General features: G+C 40.5%; 2 protein-coding genes across 16 annotated transcripts in view, besides 1 other annotated feature; one reads left to right on the top strand and one right to left on the bottom strand.

Moving 5' to 3' along the window:
- Nucleotides 1–27,495, bottom strand: part of ARMC8 (armadillo repeat containing 8) — a 111,142-nt gene that overhangs the window by 6,904 nt on the left and 76,743 nt on the right. For 11 of the 13 annotated variants that reach the window (XM_006713565.3, XM_024453441.2, XM_011512632.2 and 8 more), the window contains 8 exons: nt 27,274–27,355; nt 24,245–24,331; nt 21,354–21,446; nt 18,370–18,519; nt 16,942–17,037; nt 6,960–7,055; nt 2,366–2,438; nt 847–940 (listed from right to left, as the gene is read on the bottom strand). In XM_006713565.3, coding sequence (XP_006713628.1) covers nt 847–940; nt 2,366–2,438; nt 6,960–7,055; nt 16,942–17,037; nt 18,370–18,519; nt 21,354–21,446; nt 24,245–24,331; nt 27,274–27,355 — 771 coding nt within the window. Of the gene's footprint in view, nt 1–846; nt 941–2,365; nt 2,439–2,624; nt 3,855–6,959; nt 7,056–16,941; nt 17,038–18,369; nt 18,520–18,964; nt 19,450–21,353; nt 21,447–24,244; nt 24,332–27,273; nt 27,356–27,495 lie in introns of those variants that run through there. The other 2 variants (XM_047447900.1, XM_017006100.3) reach the window with 2 other exon arrangements.
- The window catches only part of NME9 (NME/NM23 family member 9), a 68,416-nt gene that overhangs the window by 38,366 nt on the left and 2,555 nt on the right, over nt 1–27,495 (top strand). The window contains exon 11 of one of the 3 annotated variants that reach the window (XM_047448078.1): nt 1,084–2,445. The exons of the other annotated variants lie outside the window; for them this stretch is intronic. Within the exon in view, the coding sequence (XP_047304034.1) occupies nt 1,084–1,112 (29 nt within the window). The 3' untranslated portion in view covers nt 1,113–2,445. Of the gene's footprint in view, nt 1–1,083; nt 2,446–27,495 lie in introns of those variants that run through there. 3 annotated transcript variants of the gene reach the window in all.
- Nucleotides 20,071–20,200: an enhancer, noted in NCBI's record as "active region_20602". NCBI's record gives its function as "activates an Ori minimal core promoter by ATAC-STARR-seq in GM12878 lymphoblastoid cells {active_cell/tissue: GM12878}" and the evidence as "EXISTENCE:reporter gene assay evidence [ECO:0000049][PMID:35858748]".

Below are 27,495 nucleotides of genomic sequence, written 5' to 3'. Positions count from 1 at the left end.
AACAATGCCTGGCAGAAGGCAGGTATTCAAAAGAGATATCTGATGAATGAATGGGGACTCAGAGGAGAGGAGACTGGGATAGCAAAGTAGATGGAACAGAATGTGTAAATGCACGAAGGTGTGCTACTGTAAGCGGACAGGTATGGCTGCAGTATGGGGTGTACATGGTGGGTGCAGAGAAGATGAGAAAGGCAGAGCCAGACCATTAAGGGCTGAAGGGCTTCTAAGCCATGCTCAAGAGTCTAGAGACTCAAAAGTACTGATGTTCCCTGATTTGTTATTATACAAAGGTGAAATGGAAAGTGAAGGCTGTTACAAGGGAGAACACACAGCTAGGAAGAGCATTTATGGCTATTTTGAGGTTAGCTGAGTATCTGATTATAACTCTTGACTCTACCAGGAAATGATGAGCTCTTTGAGGACAGTGATTCCTTAGTGGTAGCTTTTGTATCCCCAGGAGCTGGGCCAGCCTGGCACAAAACGGGTGTTCAGTGAGGTTTTGAGCTAATGAATGTTTGCATTACTGGTTTTTCTGCTTTCCAAAATGCCACATGCATGTCTATTCTAATGATCAGGCGAATGTACGCAAATGGCCTCTGGATCCAATCCACTAAGATGGCCCAGACTCACGTGAATTCACAATAAGATGAGAGTCTTTAATAATTTGGTAATTATTAGTTTACAGCTCACTCAAATGTCGTACAGTGGCTCATAGAAAATTATGAAGAAAATCTAAGAATCTAAAAGATTTTAAAAAGTATGGCCATTAATTACCAAGCAATTCAAACCCTTTCACGAAAGAATCCAACACAGCCCAAAGCAAGGCCTTTTCACATTCATACTCACTTGTCACAAAGGTTTGAATCTGGTGACTGACTCAGTTTGTGTAGAATATCTACGATGCCCATGTCTCGTAATTTATCCTGGCGTTCTTGTGAACCTAAACGATTAAAGCCAGGTTACTGGGAACATGACCCAGGCAAATGCTCTCTTTGATGTACAATTAACAATCTAGAGCCTTACCAGTGTCCTTCACTCCCTACTCCTCCTGTACCCCTTGTCCTCTACCCTCTCCCAATGTAGTTGGACCCGCTCATGCTTGGACTCTCTGACAGTCTTCTAACTCGTCTCTCTGCCTCCTGATCATCCTGCCTGCAGTCTATCCTGGGTTCTGCAGTTGGACTGATTTCTCCATGGACTACAGGGTCAAGGTGAGATTCTTCAGCCTGGTACAAGGCCCTCTGCCACTGACTCCCAGCTTCACCACTTCTTTCAGGACATACCCATGGCCCTGGCCAGACCAGGCCAGGCTCTTACTACTCTAAGCAGGTCTTATCTTCCCCTTTCTATTGTCTTCTACCCTCCTCTGTCCTCCCAGCACTTTTTGTTGCCTCTCAGCACAGCTGGCACTTCCAATTTCATATCATTCTGTTCTATCTTCCAACTAGACTAACATCTCCTTGAGGGTGGCTTTGTCTCCCCAGTACACAAGTGGTACGTGGTATCTAGGTCTGTGGGCGGAATCCAGTTTCCCTTCTTGCACTTTGTTTTGGGCGCTGCTGCTGAGTAATCCCCTGGAGTCTTCCCCACTGAAGAGCCCACAGTGACCACTCATATACTGGCTCTCTCTAGACTCAGTGAATCAGAATTTCTAGGGATGGGGCCCAGAAATCTGCACTTTAAAAACTTCCCCAGGTGATTCTAATGCAGCCAACCCAGCCTTGAGACCCACTGCTCTCCTGTATTTGCTACCTTGGCTATATATTGGAATCATCTGGGGAGCTTTAAGAACCACTTATGCCTGGAGCCCACCCCGAGAGATTCTGATTTAATTGGCCTGGTGTAAAAATTCCCAGGTGATTCTAATATGCAGCCAAAGTAAAGAACCTCTGATCTATACAGGCCTCCTTACAGACTAGCTGCTTCACTGGTCACATTGCACTTCTCATTTCTCACAAATGCACCTTCTTCTCCATCATGCTTATCTGCCTGTAGTCCTCATATGTGCTTCCTCTGCTCAAAACGAAAGGCTCATCCTCCCACCCACTCTCTCCTCTCACCTTCTTCAAGTGCATCTCACCATCCTCCTCATCAGCTCTCTCCTGGCAGGGACTGTCACTTACTTCTCACTCTCCCTCCTTGAATCTGGTATAGAGTTGGCTCCAACGGGGCACTCAGTGTTGACTGACCAGCTGACTTGGGCTAGTTCCACTGATTCTCATACCAGGGCAACTCTAGAGGGTGCTTGGGCCAGATGGTCCAAGAACAGAGCCTCTGCCCAGGATCTCAGGGGCACCTGCTAGCTTCCCTGTGCAAGACACTCTTCCCATAATTTTTTTCAAAACAAATCTCACCAATCTCTTACCTTCCTCTTCATTCCATATGAGGTTTGATATACAAAACATGGCTGCAAGCTGCAGTTTAACATGTGAATGGCCCTATTAATACAGAAAAAGAAAAAAAAATCAAAATGGTGGTAATCTCATTTTAGATTTTTTTTTGGGGGGACCTACCATAGCCAATTCCTATAACCTAAAAGTCTGAAGCAGGGCCAGGTGAGGTGGCTCATGCCTGTAATCCCAGCACTTTGGGAGACCAAGGCAGGTGGAAGATCGAGGTCAGGTGTTCGAGACTAGGATGATTAACACAGTGAAACCCTGTCTCTACTAAAAATACAAAAATTTGCCGGGTGTAGTGGCGGGCGCCTGTAATCTCAGCTACTAGGGAGGCTGAGGCAGGAGAATCGCCTGAACCTGGGAGGCAGAGGTTGCAGTGAGCTGAGATCGTGCCATTGCACTCAGCCTGGGTGACAGAGCGAGACTCCGTCTCAAAAAAAAAAAAAAAAAAAAAGTCTGAAGAAGAGTCCTCAAACTCAAATGTCTTGAGGGGCCATGAAGTTAACACTAATGAGTAGAAGGGTTGGGCTAAAGATAACAAGGGACAGTGGAGAATCTGGCAAATTGAGGAGTACAAGCCTTGCCAAAAGACATGCAAATTCAAATTTAAAAAACCATCTGGCTGGACAAACAAAACACCTCTAGGGCTATGGGTACAGTTTGCAATTTATGATTCAATCCATGCACGAGGAAACACTGTCATATGACAATTCTATGCTTTCGACTTAGGCTATGTTTCCAGGTCACCAACAGCCAACATACACTGGGTGGATGTGCATTTGGTATTTATCTCTTAAGCTACTGGTTATCTTATTCAAATGGCCCAATAATTCCTTTGGGGAAGAAAGTGAATATATGGTCATGAAGTTCTGTAACACCTAGACTTTCACACACACACAATCTATAAATGGCTTACTCCTCTGACACAACTTGCTGAAAACAAGAAGCATTATATAATACATTCAGCTTCTGGAATAATTAAATTACTCCTATTTCTAAAGGAATATCCCCAAAAACTTGATGAAATCGCTAGTTGATTTCTCAAATGTCTTTACTATCACTAATGAGCCTCCTATTCTTCTAAATACAATTCTTATTTATTTTGCTTTATGTACTGAAAGTACAACCATTTCTGGTTGCTTTGGATAGGGTGTTTTCGCCTGAATGAAAAAGGACTCAATAATAAAATAAACTTTATAGATGATTGTCCTATTGGTCAATAAAAAAAATTTCTAGTATGTTCAAATAATTTATGCACATCTGAGAGAGTATCAATGGCAAAATATGCTCAATGGTTTTTTCAAGGCTAAGACAGACTTATCTTCTCATGTAGGACTATATTTCAACTAAGCAGAGACAAAGAAATGGATGTGGCTTCCTCCAGTAGAATTCTATGGCTAGTGATTCTTTCTTCTTCTAACTGCCAACACTTTTAAGGAGATGTCCAGTTTGGGCTCCCTTAAGACAAAACAGAATAAAACTTATCTGCTCCCAGCCTCAGACAATCAATCAATATTTGTTGAATAAATGAGCTTGTATATACTATAACAAATATGCATTTACTATGCATAAGTTTATTCATCATTCAATATTTTTTAAGGACACAAATTACTATGAGGATAGAGAAAATTGGAGGGTGGAGGGGTGGGAACTTAATTTAGGTGGAATGCACAAAACAGATCTCTTTGAGGGTGGCAATACTTAAACAGAGACTTAAAGAATAGGAAGGTGCCAGATGTGCAAAGAGCAAGGGGCTTGAAATTCCAAGCAGGAGAAAAAGTTCCTGAAAAGGTCTGAAGTAAGAAGGAGCTGTCTGTTCAGAGAAGTAGGTGTAGCCAAATTGTGCCAACTTGTAGGCCACAGTAAGGACTCTGGATTTCATTCTGTGTTGAGAGGAAGCCCCTGAAAGATTTAAACAGTGGAGGGACAAGATCTGATTTACATTTTTAGAAGACCAGTTGGGCTGAAGGGATTGGAGTGACAGTGAGGAAGTGTCAAGGAAGATACTGTTATATAGTTAATCAGGCATAAGGTGCTGTGACTTGGACTGACTAGGGTGGGGGCAGTGGTGATGAAAAGGAGTAATTGGATTCAAGATCAGTTTTGGAAGAAGGGCAGATAGGACTTGTTGATAAATTGAGTGAATGAGGGGACAGAGCTGGAGAAATCAAGATAGATTCCAAGATGCTATCAGACAGCCACATGGAGATGCTGAAAGGGCAGGCGGATATGTAAGTCCAGAGTTTGGAAGAGAGGTCTAGGCTGGGAAACACATTTGGAAATTACAGTGTATTGTCAGCACAGTGATGATAGTATAAGCTATGGGGGTGGATGAGATTCTCCTAAGGCAATGGTTCTCAACTCTGTCTGTACGTAAGAACCACCCAGTGATCTTAAAAAAAAATCCTGATGCCCAGGCTATAACCCTAGATCTATTAAATAAGAATCTTGGGAGGGAGGAGACAAAGCAGTAATCTTTGAAAGCTCCCTACGAGGTCCTATTGTACAATGAAGGTTGTGATCTGCTGATCTCAGGAGAGCACGTGTAGAAGAGAAGAGAAAAGGGTCCAGAGATAGGTAGGGAGGTATGGTGTCACGCAAGCCAAGAGAAAAGGATATTTCCAGGAGGAGGAAATAGTCAGCTGGGTTGAAGTCTGCTGTAAGTGGGGTAAGATGAAAAGAGAAAAGGATCCTTTGGATTTGGCATCATGGAAGTCATTGGTGGCCCTAAGTTTCAGTTGAATGATGGGGGTAGAGGTGAAACAGAGGAGGTTAAAAAATGACTTTAGAGGCAGAGGAGGAGGCCGTATGTACAGAAAAGATGCTTTTAAGAAGTCTGGCTTTGAAGGTTGGGCGCAGTGGCTCATGCCTGTAATCCCAGCACTTTGGGAGGCCGAGACAGGTGGATCATTTGAGATCAGGAGTTTGAGACCAGCCTGGCCAACATGGTGAAACCCCATCTCTTCTAAAAATACAAAAATTAGCCGGGCAATAGTGCCGCGCCTGTAATCCCAGCTACTCAGGAGGCTGAGGCAGGAGAATCGCTTGAACCTACAGGTGGAAGTTGTGGTGAGCCAAGATCGCGTCACTGCACTCTAGTCTGGGTGACAGAGTGAGACCCTGTCTCAAAATAAAAAGAAGTTTGGCTTTGTCTTTGAATAACAGAGAAATGGGTATGTCTCGATGGGTATGAGAAGTTAAGGAAAACTTTTTAAGTGATTATGGATACAGTGTGGATTAGTATTGGAAAGATAAGGGAATCCCTGGTTGAAGTGGTAAGGTTTTCATTCAACAAATATTTACCAAGCATATGCTAAGGGCCAGACACCATGGTGGATATACAGTTGTGCACAAAGCTGACATGGTCCCTGCCCTCATGGAACTTACGCTGTGGTAAAGACACCCAGTAGGCACACAAACATATATCACTAAAACTGAGCTAAGTGCTCTGAAGGAAGTGAACAAAATGCAGTAATGAGGAATAATCTATAAGGGCAAGAGTCCAGTAAGAAAGTATAAGTTCAGCTGAGATTTGAAGGGTGAAACAGAGAGAAGAAAAGTGTTCCAGGCAGAGAAGCCAGTATGTGTGAAGGTCCCAAGGAAGGAAAGAACGTGGCCTTTTTGAGAAACTTCAAGTGGCCAGTGTAGTGAACAAAGGAAGAGAGGAATAAGATAAGTTGGGGATATGAATGGGTTAGGTCACGTAGGACTTGACAGGCCATCATAAAGGCATACGAACTTTATTCAAGGTATAACAAGGAGCCACTGAAGGATTTTAGTTTCTCTTCTCTTAATAAGACAAAAAGCTGAGGTCATCACTAACTGTAATGGGGGAGGGAAGAGGTGAGGTCTAAAGAATGAGGGGCAGGTAAGAATATATTCTCATGGAGAATGAGGGTGCCAGCTTCCTAGAGAATCACTGAAGGACACTAGGAGGAGCTGTGCCCATGTGGGGTTCTGTGCCTTTCTCTGCAGTTGTTAACTCTGACATGGCAGGGATAGAGAAGACAGATAGGTGTGACAAGGGGAGGCTTCCTCCATGATTAGAATTTTGTCAGGAGATGTTGACAGAATGAGAAGTGGAGGGCTTTTTGATACCCACATTTTGGCAATGGGCAGTCTCTGGTGATGATCAGATGCAGGATATGGCCATGGCAGTAGGTAGCAGATTGTTTAGAAGCAAACAGGTAAAGGAACTATGGTGCCAGGGGGCTAGAGGGTTCATCCACCATGGGACTGAAGCCTTGAGACAGAAGACAGGGACTGGAGGCCACTGAGAGAAAGCCAAGAGCCCGGGTCTTCACTCAGTAAGAGGGAGGCAACCAGTAGATGACAAGGGCAGGGAGTCGACTGGCAGGTAATAATATTACCAAGTGGTACAAGCTTCAAGGAGTTGGTGTTTTTTTCTTTTTCTTCAGGATGGAAGAGAGTTCTTTGAATCTGAGGAGTCACAGAGTAATCTATTCTTTTCCTCTTTTTAAAATCTCTGCACAATTTATTTTGAGTTAAAAATGCAACAGTCCCTGCATTCTAATCCTACGGTGAAAGGGGACAAGGGCTCACCATGTAATACTTGATTTTCTGTAGGATATCATCATTGGTCATAATAAGATCTTTTGCTGTTGTCCCATCCGCTATGTTGGCTAAGATGCACAGTGTCTGGAAAAGAACAAAGGGCCAACAGTCAGGAAAGCTCTGAAGTCCCAGAGTCAAGCTGTCTCAAGAGCTTGGGCAATTTTTCACTTGAAGGTACATGGATTCTCACAGGTTCCACTCTCAATGCCCTGATTTCTCATCTGCTGACATCATTGCTAGTAACAGTAACCACACCCAAACAAAATCTACCTTAGGCAAAAGAGAACCCCAACACTTTGGTGGTTTCTTCCTGAGCTATGGGAAGCCATAGCTGGTCAAAGGCAGCTATTTTGTATAGGTCATACTATCAAATCAAAGAGAAAATGTAACTTATTATTTTTCTTGAAAATCTCATTTCTAAGAGAAGCTCTTGTGACAAACCACAATGTTCCTTCAACAATGTAGTCTCTTTGGTGGAAGCTCTGTAGGTGTTGCAACTCCCCTCCCAGGGAAGCCTCCCTTTCCTAGGCCTCCACCTGCTGCTTGCTCCTAAGCTCATGACCTTCTGGGTGAAGGCCTAGACCCTGTCCACCAGCTACACCAGCCATGTGCACTTAGGACCTTTTAACTTTTTTGAACCCTGTTAGGGGAAGAGAAAAGAAGTAAAATGTATGAAGCAACTTAGTCCAGGCTGGTCTAATGTGAAGACTGGAGGAAGCCTGTGCCAGCTGGAAGGACAGTACACCTTGAGGACAACCACTGCACTGATGACTGCAGTCTTCTCAAAGGAAAAACTGTTCTTGTCAGCTGTTCCATTCTCAAAGCCAGACCAGCAGGAGGCAAAAATTAAGATAATGGTGAAAGGACTATGATAGGGATACCAACAGTGCCAAGCTTAGCAATTCAACAAACCATTTACTAAGTAACTATTATGGGTATGCCCTCTGCAGGGCATCAGGATGAGGCAGGAAAAAAAAACACACTCCCTGACTTTGAAGCTGTCACACAAACAATTACATTTCACTGTGATTGAAGTAAACAGAGAATAGAGAAGGCATGAAGAAAGAGCACTTGTTGGATACTGCAAGGGTTAGGGAAAACTTCCCGGAGGAAGTGACACAGTCCTGGAACCCAGTCAGGAATACCTCAAAGGAATGAGAGGTGAAGCTGGGATTCAGACTCACATAATTTTCTCCAATTTTAAACTTTTTCTTTGCAAGACAAGCTAATTAAGCTAATTGAGGAGATTGTTTTCTTGCAGTGGCCCAAGCCCCAAAATATCCTAAAGCGTGTGTGGTTTTATTTCTCCTAGATTAACACACTGCTGTCACTAGATTATTAGGGAGTAAGTCCTGAGGTGTGAAACCAGAAAAGGCTGCCTCTGAGACACAGTAGACATGAAACATAAATTGTATAGTCCAATAGCTAAGCAAACACTGGGGAACTATTTATTCCAGGGCAGTTAGATCATGTTGAGGAGGGCTTTATGTGCCCAAGAAGTGGGACAGACATGATCTGATCTGGAGAAGGTGTCAGATTTCTGGTGATCTGGTACATAAGCACTGGTACATGGTGAAACTGTCTTAAATTTCTTGGTAGGAACAATACTCTAAGGAAATCAATAATAATCTGCACTCTTTTTGGTTAGTCTCTTGCGGAAAAGATCTTATGAAGGGGCAGACATGAGCATGCCAAGTGTAATTAACAGGAGTAATTAGTTTGGGGAAGAGTTGACAGTCAATGTTTTAGGAGTCCAAGTTCAAGATGACATCAGAACCAAGTGAATTATCGTTGCTTTCCCTATATTCTAGCCCCACCTGAGCCTACAGGATAAGGTAATTAAATACAATGAGTGTTCCTTTTTTTTTTTTTTTTTTTTGAGATGGAGTCTCACTCTGTCACCAGGCTAGAGTGCATCTGGGCTCACCGCAACCTCTGCCTCCTGGGTTCAAGCAATGCTCCCTGCCTTAGTCTCCCAAGTAACTGGGATTACAAGTGTGTGCCACACGCCCAGCTAATTTTTGTATTTTTAGTAGAGACGGGATTTCACCATGTTGGCCAGGCTGGTCTCGAACTCCTGACCTCATGATCCACCCGCCCTGGCCTCCCAAAGTGCTGGGATTACAGGCATGAGCCACCGTGCCCAGCCTACAAGTATTCTTTTCTCTCTCCCTCTCCATCACTTGTCTTGACATGCAATCCAAATGTGGCAACACCAGACTCACAATACCACATTCCTTCTAGTTCTGCTCGAATTCCTTAAAGTGATTACAGAAAGCCTTAGCAAGCTTTACAACAACCCCACCTTCCAAGAGCAAGCCAGCAAAATGATATTCATCAGTGGTAGTGATCCAATCCTCACCAACCAGTCTCTGCCAGGCTTTACTAAGACAAAACCAAAATGCAGAGGGTGAGGCCAATCTAGGGAACACAGGTAAAACCTGGCTGAGAAGTAGGAGCGGGGGCAGCACATGGAAGAATCATAGCTTATTACTCTCTTGTTCTCCATCTCTCCACCATTTCTTACCAAGAAGACTCAATCCTATGGGTTGGCCAGAGCAGCTTAAGAGGAAGTAATGGAAATGATCCTTATTATGAATAAGAATTTTAATAAGGCTTCATAACCAAGGTATTCATGGGGGGAAGAGAAATGGTAAACACTTTTAGACTCTCCTAGAAAACAGCTACCCCCTCTTACCCACTAAAACAGAATATAAAGGGGAATTCCAGGGAAGATCCCTCAGAATAGACCAGGTCAGCAAGACAGGTGAGTAATTCCCCTTTTTGTAGTGTTAGAATACGCCCATGCATCCCCAGGCTTGAACAGCATGAAAAAGTGAGGTACAGTTCTGTTTTGAAGCTCATAAAACCCCTCTGTAAATATTCCTATGGAGACAAGCAATCAAATCTTAAAGAAATCAATTAGGCCGGGGCGGTGGCTCACACCTGTAACCCCAGCACTCTGGGAGACCAAAGCGGGTGGATTACGAGGTCAAGAGATTGAGACCATCCTGGCCAATATGGTGAAACCCCATCTCTACTAAAAGTACAAAGACTAGCTGGGTGTGGTGGCGCATGCCTGTAGTCCCAGCTACTCAGGAGGCTGAGGCAGGAGAATCTATTAAACCTGGGAGCCAAAGGTTGCAGTGAGCCGATATCGCGTCACTGCACTCCAGCCTGGCAACAGAGTGAGACTCTCTATCAAAAAAAAAAAAAGAAAAAGAAATCAATTATTGGGCCAACTCATTGAATATGTGAGCTAAGGAACAGATAAAAACTACACACACACACACACACCCACACCATTAATGTACGCATATTAGTGTATATACTAATATGAACAACTGGAAATCAAGGAAATAGAGCAGAGACTGGTAAATTATGGTTTGGGCCAAATCCAGTCTGCTGTCTCTTTTGGTAATTTTTATTGGAAGACAGCCATATCTACTTGCTTATGTATTGTCTATAGTTGCTTCCAGGCTAGAACAGCACAGAGGAGTAGTTGCTAGAGACCAGAGCCTGCAAAAATTGAAATATATACCTTGCCTCTTAAAGAAACAGTTGGCTAAACTCTGAAATAGAGAACAGGCTGGGTGCGGTGGCTGATGCCTGTAATCCCAGCACTTTGGGAGGCCGAGGCAGGTGGATCCCTTGAGGTCAAGAGTTTGAGGTCAACCTGGCCAACATGGCAAAACCCCATCTCTATTAAAAATACAAAAAGTTGGCCAGGCATGGTGGCTCATGCCTGTAATCCCAGCACTGTGGGAGGCCGAGGTGGGTGGATCACTAGGTTCGGAGTTCAAGACCAGCTTGGCCAACATGGTGAAACCCTGTCTCTACTAAAAATACAAAAATTAGCCTGGCATGGTGGCAGGCGCCTATAATCCCAGCTATTCAGGAGGCTGAGGCAGGAGAATGGCGTGAACCCGGAAGACGGAGCTTGCAGTGAGCCGAGATCACACCACTGCACTCCAGCCTGGGCGACAGAGCGAGAGACTGTCTCAAAAAAAAAAAAAAGAAAAAAAAGAAAGTAACCAGGCATGGTGGTGGGCACCTGTAATTCCAGCTACTTGGGAGGCTGAGGCACGAGAATAGACTGAACCCAGGAGGTGGAGGCTGCAGTGAGCCAAGATCACACCACTGCACTCCAGCCTGGGCAACAGAGTGAGACTCTGTCTTAAAATATATATAATAATAATAATAATAAGTGGGAAAATCAATGAAACCAAAAACTGATTCTTTGGCAATGAAACCAAAAACTGATTCTTTGCTAAACCTCTGGTCAGACTGAACAGGAAAAAAGGAATTACCAGCCAGGCACAGTGGCTCATGTCTGTAATCCCAGCACTTTGGGAGGCCGAGGTGGGCAGATCAGCTGAGGTCAGGAGTTTGAGCCCAGCCTGGCCAACATGGTGAAACCCCATATCTACTAAAAATACAAAAATTAGCAGGGTGTGGTGACACGTGCCTGTAATCCCAGCTACTTGGGAGGTGGAGGCAGGAGAAAGGTTTGAACCCGGGAGGCAGAGGTTGCAGTGAGCCGAGATCAGCCACTGCACTCCAGCCTGGGTGACACAGCGAGACTCTGTCTCCAAGAAAAAAAAAAGGAATTACCAATATAAAGAACAAGAGAGGGGATACTGCCAAGGATACTACAGACTTGAAAAAGGAATAAGAAATTATGAACCGTTTTATGTTAACAAATTTGAAAACTTAGATGAAATGAACAAATTCCTTGAAAGACACATAATACCAAAGCTCACACAAGAAACAGATAACCTGAGTAGTCCTATTTCTATTAAAAAATCTGAATTTGTAGTTAAACACCTTTCCACAAAACGGTCATCGTATCCAGATGATTCCAACTGGTAGCATTCCATCAAAATTGAAGAAAAAAATAATTAATTCTTCACAAATTTTTGCAGAAAATTGAAGAGCGAACACCTCCACCTCATTCCCCAAGGCCAGCATTATCCCAATACCAAAACCAGAAAAAGACATTATTAAAAAACTATTCATCAATACCCCTCATGAATATAGATGTGAAACACTCCTTACCAAATTTCAGTAAATTGAATCTAACAATATATCTAAAGGATAATACATAATGACTAAATTAGGTTTACCTCAAATATGTTAGTTTAACATTTGAAACTGAATCAAATGAATTCACCATATAAATCAGAGTTTTAAAAAAACAATTTCAACAGATGCAAAAGAAAGTAATTGATTGAAAAAAAATCTATGGCTCATGTTTGGGGTTTAAAAATAAAAAAGTAAAAATAATCCAATATCTATTTATGGTAAAAACTCAACAAACTAGAAGATAATTTCTTTTCCTTTCTTTAATAAAGGGAATCTATGAAAAACCTACACCCGACATATTCAATAGTGAAAGACTGAGTGCTTTTCTCTAATATTGGGAACAAAACAAATATGTTCATCCTCATCTCATTACACTGCAAGTTCTAGCTAGACAATGAAACAAGAAAAACAAAATAGCATATAGATTGGAAAGTAAGAAATAAAGCTATTTTTATTTACAGATGTGATCATTTGTTGAAAATTTTAAGTAATTCACGCAAAATAACTTAAAGTGACTTTGGCAAGAATGCAGGATACAAGACTGACATACGAAAATTTTATTACCATATACTAACAATGAACAACTGGAAATCGAAATTTTAAAAATAAAATTTACAAAAACATCAAACATATGAAATAGGAATAAATCTGACCAAGAGTGCAAGACCTATATATCAAAAACTACAAAACACTGCTATAAGAAGAATTAAAGAAGACCTAAATAATTGGGAAGATATATTCATGAATTGGAAGACTCAATATTGTTAAGATGTCACGTCCTCCCAAATTTATTTATAAATACAATACGATCGAAATCCCAAGTGGCATTTCATTTGTAGAAATGAGAACAGAATTATGAAATACAGTAAAATTCACTCTTTTGGTAGTAATTTTATTTACCAAATGTATAGAATCTTTTTTTTTTTGAGATGGAGTCTTGCTGTGTCACCCAGGCTGGAGTGCAGTGGTGTGATCTCGGCTTACTGCAACCTCTGCTTCCCAGGTTCAAGCGATTCTCCTGCCTCAGCCTCCCGAGTAGCTGGGACTACAGGTGCGTGACCATACCTGGCTAATTTTTGTATTTTTAGTAAAGACAGGGCTTCACCATGTTGCTAGGCTGGTCCTGAACTTCTGACCTCAAGTGATCCGCCTGCCTCAGCCTCCCAAAGTGCTGGGATCACGGTGTGAGCCACCGTGCCTGGCCTACCAAATGTATATATAGAATCTTAAAACCACCAGTACAGTCAGCATTTACAGAGCAGTTCTATCACTGCCTCCCTCCCTAAATTGTCCTGTGCTATCCCTTTATAGTCAAATCCTGCCCCCAACCTTTAAGGCTTGGATACCTTTGATTTGTTCTCTGTCTCTACTGTTTTGTCTTTTACAGATGGTCATATAGATGGGATCATATAGTATCTTGCCTTTTGTATTGTATCTGGCATCTTTCATGTAGCGTAATGCATTTGAGATTCATCCATGTTGTTACATACAGCAACAGTTTGTCCCTCTTTATTGTGACTGTGATATCCCATTATATGAATGCACCATAGTTTGTTGAGGGATGTTAATTTCTAATTTTTGATGATACAAATAAAGTTGTTATGAATGTGTGTGAACTTAGGTTTTCATTTTATGTGAGTAAACGGCTAGGAATGGCATTGCTGGGTCGTATGGCACGTATATGTACAACTTTGTAAGAAACTGTCAAACCATTTCCAAAATGACTGTATTATTTTGCATTTCCACTAGATGCTCTGCATCCTTGCTAGCAACTGTACTGTTTTAAAAAAATTTTTAGCTATTCTAAAAGATGCATAGTGATATTTTATTGTGCAGTGTCTGTTCATATTGTTTTTTCAGTTTTATGTTTGGTTGTTTTCTTGTTGTTTTGAGAATTCTTCAAATATTCTGGACACAAGTCATTTGTCAGATATCTGATCCACAAATATTCCTTCCGGTGGATGGCTTGTCGTTTCAGTCTCTTAACAGTGCATTTCACGACGCAGAAGTTTTACAGTTTGATGAAGACCAATTTACCTTCTTCTTTTCTGAATGTTTTAAATTTCATAGCTAAGAACTCTTCGCCTAATCTAAGATCTCAAAGATTTTCTCCTGCATTTTCTCTCTAAGTTTTATAGTTTTACCTTTTATGTTATGTCTATCAGTAAATTTTTATCTCAAGTGTGTGGTATAGTTCAAAGTTAATTTTTTTTGGCACTTGTACAGCATCTTTTCTTGAAAAGACCATTCTTTCTCCACCAAGTTGCCTTTGTACCTTTGTCAATAATCTACTGGCCATATATGTGTGGGTCTATTTCTGGACTCTCTAGTCTGTTCCATTGGTCGATATGTGCTATCTTTTTTTGCTAAGACCATACTGTCTTCATTACTACTGTACTTTTATAATTAAGTCTTGAAACAAGGTGTTGTGAATCCTCCAATTGTTCCTGTTTTTTCTTCCAAACTGTTTTGGCTTTTTAGTTCCTTTGCCTTTTCATACAGATTTTAAAATCTATATGTAAAGGCACAGATTTTAGATATTTACATCTATAGTAATATTTATAAACAAACATGCTGTGATTGTGCTTGGGACTGTGCTTAATCTATAAATCAACTTGGGGAGAACCAACATTTTAGCATGGTATATCTCTCCATTTATTTGGGTCCTGGATTTCTTTCATTATCAGTGTTTTTATAGTTTTCAGTATACAGATCCTTGTGAGATTTATACATAGAATTTCATTTTTTTCTAAGTTACTGCAAATGGTACTGTTTAATATCTCAATATCCAATTGTTCACTGCTAGTATATAAAAATACAACTGCCTTTTCTATCTTGTGACCTTGCTTAACTCATTTATTAGTTCTAGAATTTTTGGTGAGTCCATGGCATTTTCTATTATAGGCATTCATACTGTCCTTTCCAATCTGTATACCTCTTATTTCTTTTTCTTGCCTTCTTGTGCTTGGTAGGAATTCCAGCACAATGTTGAACAGGAGTGGTACAAATGGACATACTTGTCTTGTTCCCAATTTAAGGGCAGTGATACATATGTTTTACTATCTTGTCTGTGGTGACAGTTTCATAGGTGGATGCACGTGTCAAAACTGAAACACTGTATACTTTAAATATGTGCAGCTTATTGTATGTCAATTGTATGTCAGTCAAAAAAATAATTTATCAGGTGCTTTTGAGAAGCATTAAACTTCTAGCTAGTGAGCCGACTGTTTAGCCTCCCATACTCGCCTATTTCCAGATCACTTCCAAAATCTGTATGAGAAAGTTCCTTTGTGTCCTGCAAAAACAATACTGTTGTTGGTCTTTCATTTTGCCCTCATTCAAATCTTGCCTCACCTTTCTGTCTTGCTTCGCTTTTCAAGTTACTGAAATTCTATCCAGGTAAGTTGTCTTTATAGACAAAATTCATTCCTATCCTCTCAAAGTACAATGGTTTATTTTGAACAATGTACTTTCTTCATTGTTGTGTTTCAGTAATGGATTTCATTTCGGCTAATTTTAGTGATGCTTATGAGATTATACTTTCTCTGTGTTAAATTTTTTTCATCAAAACACAGTTTTAAAAAAAATTTTAAGAGATATCACGTAAAATATCTGTCTTAAAATCACTTTATCAAACCTACCAACTTTTTGCTCACAAATTCAATTGCAGCTCCTAAGACCTACAACTCTTACTTCCTGGACTGTTCTTCCAAGGCTGGCTGAATTACTTTAACTCAAGAATACAGAAGATGAGAAGCACAGCCCCTGAAGTTAGACTCTCTGGGTCCAACTCTCTACTGATGACCTTGGGCGAGTTTCTTTCAGATAGACATACCTATATGTCTACAGCTTAATGAATTTTTTTTTTTTTGAGACAGAGTCTCGCTCTTCCGCCCAGGTCGGAGTGCAGTGGTGCTATCTTGGATCACTGCAAGCTCCACCTCCCAGGTTCACGCCATTCTCCTGCCTCAGCCTCCCCAGTAGTTGGGACTACAGGCACCCGCCACCGCGCCTGGCTAATTTTTTGTATTTTTTTAGTAGAGATGGGGTTTCACCGTGTTAGCCAGGATGGTCTCGATCTCCTGACCTCGTGATCCGCCCACCTCGGCCTCCCAAAGTGCTGGGATTACAGGCATGAGCCACTGTACCCGTCCAGCTTAATGAATTTTGAAAGAGAACATAACCATGTAGCCAAAACCTATGTCAAAAAACTGAAGATCGCCAGTATCTCTGGTCCTGTGTTAAAATCTTAAGTTTGCAGGTGACTTTTGTTTTTAGAGCAAAATAAAATATATTCATTAAAACTCCCATGATAAATCCCAGAAAATAAAGAAAAATAATTCCCAACTGTCCTGATAAATGCACAGCTTCGTACTTTAATACCTACCCTTAACTTGCCCTCCTGAAACTTAATGGAAGTAGGGTTATGGGATGAGGAATAAGATGCCTAAGAGAAAAGAAATGAAAACTATCTCCAGGATGAGGAATTATTTTATCAGCGAGTCGCAGGAATTTTGAGTTGAGAGCATGGCGGCGGAGAGGGCTAGAAACCACTATTTATTTATCCTGGAAATCACTTATTTATCCTGGAAAAAGGATTCATTCCAGGATGATGAAAGGTGACTGCTCCTGTAGAGACAGGGACAGTGTGCACAGTGCATGACACAGAGAGCAAAACTGTAGACGCTGGTCATGTTTTCCTCTATTTCAGGAAGAAGTCTTAAAGAGAGTTTAAGGGATGGTGGAAGATATTTCTTCCTATTTCTAGAGCATCTCCCATCTCAGCACTCTGTCTTCTGCAGATTTGAATATTTCAGGAGACTCTTAAGAACTTCCTTTGTGCTCACATTCAGAAAATATTCCCCAAGAGAAAGGAACAACGTACCTGCTCTTTGACCTCAATGTTATGTTCCCCTTCTAGAATAAGAGTGACGGCTTGCATAATTTGCTTTCCATGAGTACTCATTATTTTATCTATATGCTGTAAAACAATGGGAAATCCATAATTATCAAAGAAACAAAGACCACAGGACGAATACAAGGCTTCTAAAAGTTAAAACAATATGATTCACAACTGCTTCATGCAAAACACTATAGCATATAGAACTAGATGCCAAAGAACAGTGTTTATTATATTTTGAAGCTGCAGTTTGCCTTCAAATATGTCATACACACACACACACACACACACACACATGTATATACACATTACACATACATACATACATACATAAAGTTGACCTGACAGAATATGAAAGCACAATCATTGGGGGTCCTCAAACCCAAATATATTAAAGAAAAAGGAAGCAAAGGCCAAGTACGGTACGCTCACGCCTGTAATCCCAGCACTTTGGGGGGCCGAGGTGGGCCAATCACCTGAGGGCAGGAGTTCGAGACCAGCCTGGCCAACACGGCAAAACCCCGTCTCTACTACAAATACAAAAAATTAGCTGGGCATGGTGGTACACGCCTGTAATCCCAGCTACTTGGGAGACTGAGAAAGAAGAATCACTTGAACCCGGGAAGTGGAGGTTGCAATGACCGGAGACTGTGCCACTGCACTCCAGCCTGGGGGAAAGAGCAAGACTCTGTCTCAAAAAAAAAAAAAGGGGGAAGCATAAAAAATGGACTGGGGTAATGGGGGAAGCCAGAGACATGGAAAACACAGTGTAGATTTCCTAATACTATCTTGGAGAATAAATGCATAATGACAACTTGTGGGGCACAGAGAAGGGAACCACTCATATTTCCTCATCTACCTGAAGGCCACTTGCATTGTTTCTTGGGGAACATTAGAGAACATTGAGAGGTATCCCACCAGCAAGGCTCAGCCTCTCCTACTCTGACACGTATCCACTGCTTTCTACACTGGCATCTTCAGAGGTCAATCCCGTAAATGTGGGTAGGGAGATGGTCTATGGAATGGCTCTGAGAATTCTCTAAAGGGAAAGAAGCAGAGGCCCCAGAGATAAGTGATTTAGGCAGATGAGAAAATCCATCCTGGACAGCATACCAGGTAAGAAAAAAGTAACAAATCAAGGTAGGCACTGGTCATGTTTTCCTCTGTTCCAGGGATTAGAGGGAGACAGGATAAGCAGTGTAGGAGTGGAGAATAGGGGGTGATATGGTGAAGCAGCTCCCAGAACACCTACGAAGGTGACAGGTTTAGACATCAACTCCTTGTTTCTTTGGAAGGGGGCAGCATTTGAATCACACTCATGGGCAGATGTTAATGAGAGCACAGAGAGAGAGCAATGTCTTGCAATGCATATGCAGGGCTAGCTAATTTGGAAGCCTGGGTGATTTTACTTACAGGACGAGTGGAGAGGAGATTTCTAAGAAGTCCCAATGTCTTCATCAGCACATTCAAATCTGAATCTGATAATAACCGGAATAGCTGTTCAGTACTCAAGCTTCGTAAAATATCTGCTTTTATTTTTTGTTCAGCCTGAAATGCCATATTCTGAAAGGATTAAAGAAGTTGCAAGAATCATGTCTACATTTACTTTATTAAATTATATTTTAATAGTAACTCTGGTAATTTTTTTTTATTTTTTTGAGACAGAGTCTTGCTCTGTCGCCCAGGCTGGTGTGCAGTGGCACAATAACGGCTCACTGCAACCTCTGCCTCCCGGGTTCAAGCAATTCTGCCTCAGTCTCCTGAGTAGCTGGGAGTACAGGCGCGAGCCACCACGCCTGGCTAATTTTTGTATCTTTAGTAGAGATGGGGTTTCACCATGTTGGCCAGGCTGGTCTTGAACTCCTGACCTCGTGATCCACTTGCTTTGGCCTTCCAAAGTGCTGAGATTACAGGTGTGAGCCACCAGGCTTGGCCAACTCTGATAATTTTCAAAGTACAAACAGAATCTGCAGAAAATCTTTAAGGATAAATCAATCTATTTTCTTGATTCTTGTTAATCACCTATATTTCTGTCCGTCAAGAGAAACGTAACTGTTACTCTTAGATATACTTCTACATGAGGAATGTGACCACTTTTAGGTACAGACATTTGAATGTCTTAAGACTTCTCAAATAAATACAAAACTCATTTATCACTTTTGAGAATATCTTTATGGTTATCAAGTTGCCTGCTGTACACGAAATGACTATTAATGCTTATACTGTGCCATGCCTTTTGAGAATGATTTCAAAGTACTCACGGAAGAAAATAAGCAGTGGGTTTTCTTAACTTTACTGGCATGAAAACATCTCTTGTGTTCACAATACTATGGTAGGTGTTGGCATGGCTGGGCTGTATCACACAGGAAGCTCTCCAGAGGGTAGGAGGTGTGTCTGAGCTACCAGTAATCCCGGGTGGCTAGTAGCTATTTTGCTCCTTTTTCTCTAATTTGTATCATGGGTTAACCCAGCTTAATCCCAAGCTATACATGTCTGAAGAAAACAAAAACCATGATAAATTCCAAGTAACAACTTACAAATCAACTTTTGATACAAAAATCTCTTGTATAGCCAGGTGTGGTGGCACACGCCTGTAATCCCAGCTACTCAGGAGGTTGAGGCACAAGAATCACTTGAACCCAGGAGGCAGAGGTTGCAGTGAGCTGAGATTATGCCACTACACTCCAGCCTGGGCAACTAAGCGAGACTCTGTATCAAAAAAAAAAAAAAAGAAAGAAAAAAAAAATCTTGTGAACTAGAGACATAATATGTGGTTGTTGCCCTCCAGGAACTTATTTTAATTAAAGAGCTAAGACATTAGCCATCAAGTTACATAATAATGTGAGGCAGCATGGCAGAGCAAAAAGAATACTCTATGTGTCAAGAGACCCAGGTCAGAGATGACTCTAAGGTTTTATATTTTGCAGAGAGAAAACACAGCAGCTGGTAATATGAAGACTGACGAGAATAAGATAGTTTGTACAGATTTGAGGAGTGAAATGAGTTCAGTTTCCAACATTAAAGTTGTGCATGTCAGAGAATTCTGAAATGAAGTCCCATACGCCATTTAAGTGATAGATGTGGGAAACAGGTAACAGTTACATCTGGATATGTAGATTTCAAAGTAACCTATTAGGGGAAGTTGAAACCATGTTATGAGATGAAGTCCCTGAAACTGATGTAATGAGAATTGGAAACCAGAAACTGAAACTTGGGGGAATGTTCTCAGAGAAGAGGTTGAAAAGGAAGCTAGGTAGAAAGTGAGTTTAAAAAAAATAAGTCCTGGGAAGGAGTTTCAAGAAAGAGAAGTGCTAAAAGCTGTGCAAAGTTCAGGAGAAAAATATCTGTGAAACTACAGATTTGTTGCTTTCTTAGAAGATAATTATTTCTATCCTAAAGTCTGTATAAAAACACAGCAGATATAGCATGGAACAGGGAGAATACAGGCTTGGAAAAGGTTCTGAACCCATTTCCATTATTAACTGTGAGGCCTTCACCTTCACAATTCACTTACCCTCCCTGAGTCCTAGTTTCCCATTTGTAAAGTGAATATATACCAATATATCTTAAAATAAGAATGAGGGATAAATATAAAACGCCCAGCTTAGTGTCTGGTACAGAGCAATTAAATTGTAAATAGTATAAATATGTTTTAAAAATCAATTTAGGATTACTCTATTTACAATTTCAAGAAAATTTTAATAATCTTAAGGAGAAATGGTTCTCTAACCTCAAAGTTTTACAATATATTACAAATTATTTACTAGAAACTGTTAAAAAATTATTAAGTATTTATGCACCAATTTTATTACCTTCGACAAGTTAATCATTCTGCAAAAAATGGTTAAATATGTGAGGTAATACACATGTTAATTAATTAGCTCAAATTAGCCATCCCACAATCTATTTATCTTTCAAAACATCATGTTGTACTTTATAAACACACATAATTTTTATTTGCCAATTAAAAAAAATAATCATTCTGTGCCTTAGTTTACTTCATCTATAAAGTATGGTAAGAACTCTCTGGTTGGTATCATAAAGTTGTTCTGAAGAGCAAAGGAGATATGAAAGTGCTTTGTAAAGTAGGTGGCGCTACACAAAAATATAATATGTTCATGATAAGGAAAATTTATTTTCCCAGAATTAGCTAAGTTTCAACATCTGTTCACTTTTCTTAATAATAAATAAGAGAACGGAGGCATAACTTGCTTACAGTTAAATCTGTTAGTTTAATACTAAGCCTTCTAGGTCCTAGTCATTAGAAAACTAGAACAAAATAGCCAGATTTTTGAAAAAGAAAATTCCAGACATTTCAAATAACACATTATAGTTCTAACTTAGACAATAGCTGTATTCCTTTTGTAAGTTATGATATATATAAAAGTGAAACGTACCATTAAAGCCCAAATTCCATTCACTCGTAAAGCAGGATTTTCACTCTGAGTTAATCCACAAAGTAGCTCTACGGCTCCTGATTCCAAAATTGGCTGCCATTGGACAGGGAAAAAAAAAATCACAGCTTTAAAGTCCAGTTTGCAAACTAAACATGCATATACCTTGGCACTTTGTGATTTCTTCCCCACTCTTACTCAATTCCAGGCAACTTTTGCAAAGCAGGGAGTGATGTAGCCATAAAAATCACCTTGAGAAGGGCAAAGACAATTATTTTCTCATAAATCCGAAAAGCCAAAAAAAAAAAAAAAAAAGAAAGAAAACAAAACCAAACCACTCTGTCATTTCCTTTTATCCTTGTAGTCCTGGAGGATTCAGGAGACATTCTAGTTATCTGTACATTTCACACAGACCCTTATGATCCCATTACCTAGCTCCCCACTCTCATCTTTCGCTGAGACTCTGTCACTTTCTGCTTTATGTGTACATCTTGTGCATTGCTTACGAACTCTATGAAGTAATATGGTTGGTAAAGGAAAGAAATATAAAGGAACTTAGAAAACCAAATCATCCTCCTTCCAAGCTGTCAGTCTTATTCCAAACATGCTGCAGAATTTATCTTTTAGGATATTTTCAGGACTACTTATCAATTATACAAGCAAAACAGTCCTGTACTTTTACAGTCATGCCACATTTTACATCTAAAATACCATGCTTTAGTCTAACTACTTAACTTTATTTATGATACTTGACTGAACATGAATTTTTGGTAATTTCTAAAAAATATTCAAACCTTAGAGGATTAAGATTTACCATCACCGATGAATGCTTAAAGGTCACTTGTCAAGAGGATTATAGAAACGTCAGAAGCAATTCAGATCTATATACCCAGAAAAAGGGGTATACATTTCTCAACTGTACAAATTATATTTTAAAAACTTATTTTGAAATAAATTCAAACTTATAAAGTAGCAAAAAATACAAGGAACGCTCAGATATTCTTTTCCCAGATCCGCCAGTTTTTAACATTTGCCATTGTTAATTTATCATCTCTCTCGTACTATGTACCTAATCCACATTATCTATCTTTTCTGAACCATGTGAAAGTAGGATGCGTACATCATGCCCCTTTTACGCTTAATATTTCAATGTATATTTCCTAAAAACAAGGATATTATCTTAGATAACCATAGTACAGTTACCAAATTCAGGAAAGGTAATAATAAATTAAAATAATACTTTAATCAAATCTATAGCCCATACTCTAATTTTGTCAGTTGGCACAAAAAAAATGCTCTTATAGCATTTCCCTCCCCCACTTTGGTTCAGAATCTATTTTTTTTTTAATTTTAATTTTTTCAGACAGGGTCTCGCTCTGAAGCCCAGCCTGGAGTGCAGTGGCATGATCATACCTCATTGCAACCTCAAATTCCCAGGCTCAAACAATTCTCCTGCCTCGGCCTCTCGAGTAGCTAGAACTACAGGTGTGTGTGCCATGCCTGGTTGATTGTTTAATTTTTAGTAGAGACAAGGTCTTGCTATGTTGCCCCGGTTGGGAGTTAATTTTTCAATATAAAAAAATCGTATTAGTGATCCTTTGCCTGAGCTCATCTACCTATTTCCTAACTAGACCCTAAATATCCTGAAGGTAGATCTGGAGCAATATAAGAGCAGTTAAGGATGATTAACGGTGGTACACCAGCTGTGACTGGATTATCATCAGGCCAAGACCCCGTCTACAGGGCAGAGAACTGATGGAAGCTCTGGTGTCTGTTTTGCCTTTCTCTTCCATCAGGGTAACTACCAGTCTTGCCCTGTTTGTTCCAAGATTCCTGCTTGTTGAATAACTATTTCTGAACCTCCATCTTGTTTTTTTGTTTTGTTTTATTTTTTAGATGGAGTCTCCCTCTTTTGCCCAGGCTGCAGTGCAGTGGCGCGATCTCAGCTCACTGCAACCTTTGCCTCCCGGGTTCAAGTGATTCTCTTGCCTCAGCCTCCCGAGTAGCTGGGATTACAAGCATGCACCACCACCCCCGGCTAATTTTTGTACTTTTAGCAGAGATGGGGTTTCACCATGTTGGCCAGGCTGGTCTCAAACTCCTGACCTCAAGTGTTCTGCCTGCCTTGGCCTCCCAAACTGCTGGGTTTACACGCATGAACCACCGTGCCTGGCCAGAACCTCCATCTTATTAATACTACCTTTCTTAATTATAGTCAATGCCTACAAGTGTTATAATGCAGCAAATAAATTCAACACAAATGGGACAACTAAATGCACAATAAACCTGAGTTCATAATTGGGCAGATCAGGGGTATTATGACATAATAAAACTAACTGTATAAGGTTTTCCCCTTCTTCATTAAGGTATATTTTAGTTTTTCCTATTAAAAAAAAGAATACATACTCAAATATTTTATAAAATGCAGAAGGGAACCCCCATCCAACCCCTCCCCAAACAACTACCATTAACATTAAACATCAAAAGATGATTTTCCAATGACAGCAGTTATGTCCTTGAAATGATTTATAATCCTGGTTTACAAAATTTAGTCTTAATTTATTCTTTAGTAAAGATAGCCTGAGAATAGTTTACTATTTGTAAGAAAAATTATTTCTTACATTCACAGTTTCAGGCAGTTTAGATAGACTTGAAGATGTAATATCTTTTAAATAAGCTGAATATGTTAGATAGAATAACAAGAATAATGGGAAATGATAACCGTACTTTAAAATGAATGATTTATTTGCACACCCCTACCGCTATGCAATCAAACAATTCCGAAGTAGTTTTTAAACCCAACCCACAGATTTCAATGTCAACTACTATAAAAAGTATTTGAGTAAGCTCTAGCTGGACTGGGCAAAGTCTAGGAAAAGAAAATCAATACTAACCTCTTTGCTTGGAGAAAATTCAAGAAGAAGATTACACAGCATGGAAGATGCTACCACTAGGATTTCATCTGGTGCATTTTGTAAAACCTATGGAATTAAAAAAGGATACTACTAATGATTTGGAATGATGAAGATGAGATATAAAATGAGATATAAAATATAAATAAAAACAAGAACAATTATCTTTCAACCTGATTCTTCGTATTGGAGAGATAGGAAGAATCCACTTGATACTGTGTCAAACTTTTCCTAGTGCTATAATTATGACGGACTAACGCCCTCAAATCTGTCTTGCTTGGAGAAGCTGCAGCCTCACTGGGGGCTCTTGCAGGGAGGAGAGAGACATGTCAGGGGAAGATACTCTTATGTGAAATGCTTGAAGGCCAAGGGACTGCTCTGGGGTAAGTGAGCTCATTCTACTCCATCAGTCAAGCCCCTTATGAGTCTACAGAATGGTCCTACAGCCTGACTTTCTGATGTGTCCTTAGAAGGGCTTGTTTGACCAGGAGCACTGACGAATCAAGCAGGCTACTACTGCATAGGCAGGACAGTGTGGGAGACTGGTTCTCAGAAATGGAATCACACAGACCTAGTTCCAACTGGACACTTCCACTAACTAGCCTGAGCCTGTATTTCTTCATCTATAAACTGAGGAAAATAAGACCTCCTTGATAGAACTATTTAGGATTAAATGTGATATAGTGAATAATAAGGGAAGTACCGTAGCAGGGAAATGAAAAACATAAGACTACTTGGATACAAATTTGGGCTCAACAACTAAATAGGTACATGAATTCCTCAACTATAAAAATCCAGAAATGTCAAATCTGGCCCCAACAGTTTTGGATAAGGGATGGTGGTCCTGAAATAAACTTTTGCTGGTGGGAGCTGGCACACTCCATAAGCAAGTGTGTTCCAAGCATAGAAAGGCACTGATACTGTAGCTGGAGAGTAGAGTGTAGGTAAATAACCATTCTGAGATTTGGGGCTCTTAATGAGGTTCAGGAAGCAAAAGGATCTCAGAGAATGAGGAGTATTCAGAAGAGATGACATATGTCTAATAGGGTGAAAAAGAGTGAAACTCAGGAAGATGTGCCAATGGATGAAAATGGGTCAAGTTCAATGTTACATACTGCTTAGGCAGGCCCACTGAAAATAAGTTGTTAAAGAAACATACTGTTCTGATAGGCCTCATAAGACCATATTGTGACACTTGTTTAGACTAGAAAATAGAAAACTCTTGGTGTCCCCCTGACAGCTCCTGAGTAGTGAATCATACACTCAATCTATCATTCCTTCCACTGAAGTAGCTCCAGGGTTCATATGGTCTTTCCTAAGCCACTCCTACTGCTTTATTCCAGGACCTCAACACATAAATCATATACTCTGTCACTAGATGAACCTCCTCAATGGAAGAACCACTCAGCATGTCAATTCCCAAGGCCACTGGCATTGGTCTAACTCTTCCACTTCGTCCTTACCTGTCCACTGGTATGTCTCATTATATCCCACTGCTCCACTAGAGTCATAAAGGTATACTTGCCGTTCCCTACACATACCATACATAATGTTTCTCCTCATGCTATTCTGCTCCCCAGAAAATCCTCCTGTTTTCCTCTTGCTTTCAAAGCCCACTTTATATTCTTCCTGCCTGAATGGTCTCTTGCCTATTTCTGCCACATTGATGCCCCCGCCTCCTAAACCTAAAGCTTTAAGCCAAGAGTAAGAGTTCTGTGATAAAATGTTTTTGGTAGCTCACTGTACTTGAAGGCTTTGCTTAGTACATAGCAGGTATGCAAAAACAAAACAAAACTCTAAAAAATTAAGTTGACTAAATGCAAGGTATATGATCACTTAAGAAAAAAAATGATAGACCAAAGACCAAGTTTTGTAGTGTATCAGGGGATAACATTATTAGCAGCCACTTGATACATGCTCTAAGTCTTGATTCAGATTCATTTGTCCTGAACCTTTTTTGGGGGGGACAAAAGGGGCCTGAAGAGAAGACCTAACACCAAAAATGTTATGTTAAAAAATATCCAGGGGTCAGGCATGGTGGCTCATACCTGTAATCCTAGCCAACACTTTGGGAGGCCAAGGCAGGATCACTTGAGCTCAGGAGTTTAAAACCAGCCTGGGCAACTTGGCGAGACCTTGTCTCAAAAAAATAAAAAAAATTAGCCAGGCATAGTGGCACATACCTGTAGTCCCAGTTACTTGGGAGGCCAAGGTGGGAGAATCACTTGGGCCGGGGGGCACAAGGCTGCAGTGAGCCATGACTGAGCCACTGCACTCTAGCCTGTGTGACACAGTGAGACCCTGTGTCTATTTAAAAAAAAAAAAAAAATCCAGGGATTGCCGAGACTAAGAACAACACATTATCTCTGTAAATGGCAGATTCCTTTGCTTTTCAGAACCAAAAATTACAAGGATAATTCTGGATATAAGGTTAAGGTGTAATATTAAACAAATAGGGAGATCAGATGAGTAACTAAAGCTTAGTTAATAAAAGAAAATCAGGCCTGGCTGGGCGCAGTGGCTCATGCCTGTAATCCCAGCACTTTGGAGGGCCGAGGCGGGCAGATCACGTGGTCAGGAGTTCAAGACCAGCCTGACCAATATGGTGAAACCCCGCCTCTACTAAAAATACAAAAATTAGCCAGGCGTGGTGGTGCGCACCTGTAGTCCTAGCTACTAGAGAGGCTGAGGCAGAAGAATCGCTTGAACCGGGGAGGTGGAGGTTGCAGTGAGCCAAGATCATGCCACTGCACTCCAGCCTGGGTGACAGAGCTAGACTACATCTCAAAAAAAAAAAAAAAAAAAAAAAAAGAAAGAAAATCAGGCCTGTAGTTCCCCCTCACACATGAAGCATTTGTAGATGCTTAGAATATCAGATTTGAGGAGATAAACGTTCAAAATGCTCTACACAAAAATCAGACATACTCCTAGACCAGGGAGTAGTGTTAGCTAGCTCAGCTCACTCTAGGGTCTGTGAGTACAGCTGTTACTGGCTGACCCTTTCTTCTTACCTTCATTAAAGGTTTCCAAACAGCATGATCCTGGAAACTGGTTCGAAGCTGCTGCACAGATCTGGATAAACTGTGCAAACATCTACAAAGAATAATCAAAATTAGCTTCACAAGAAATCAAAACTTTTACTTTTCAAACAAACTGGCTGGCATTTTACAATGACTAATGTACACTTCAAGCATATCTACATTGTTAAGTGAACTACATCAGACCACTTTATG

This window comes from Homo sapiens, chromosome 3, assembly GCF_000001405.40.
Source record: "Homo sapiens chromosome 3, GRCh38.p14 Primary Assembly".
NCBI classification, from domain to species: domain Eukaryota; kingdom Metazoa; phylum Chordata; class Mammalia; order Primates; family Hominidae; genus Homo; species Homo sapiens.
The sequence above is the reverse complement of the archived record's forward strand: the minus strand, read 5'-3'. Positions and strand labels throughout refer to the sequence as shown.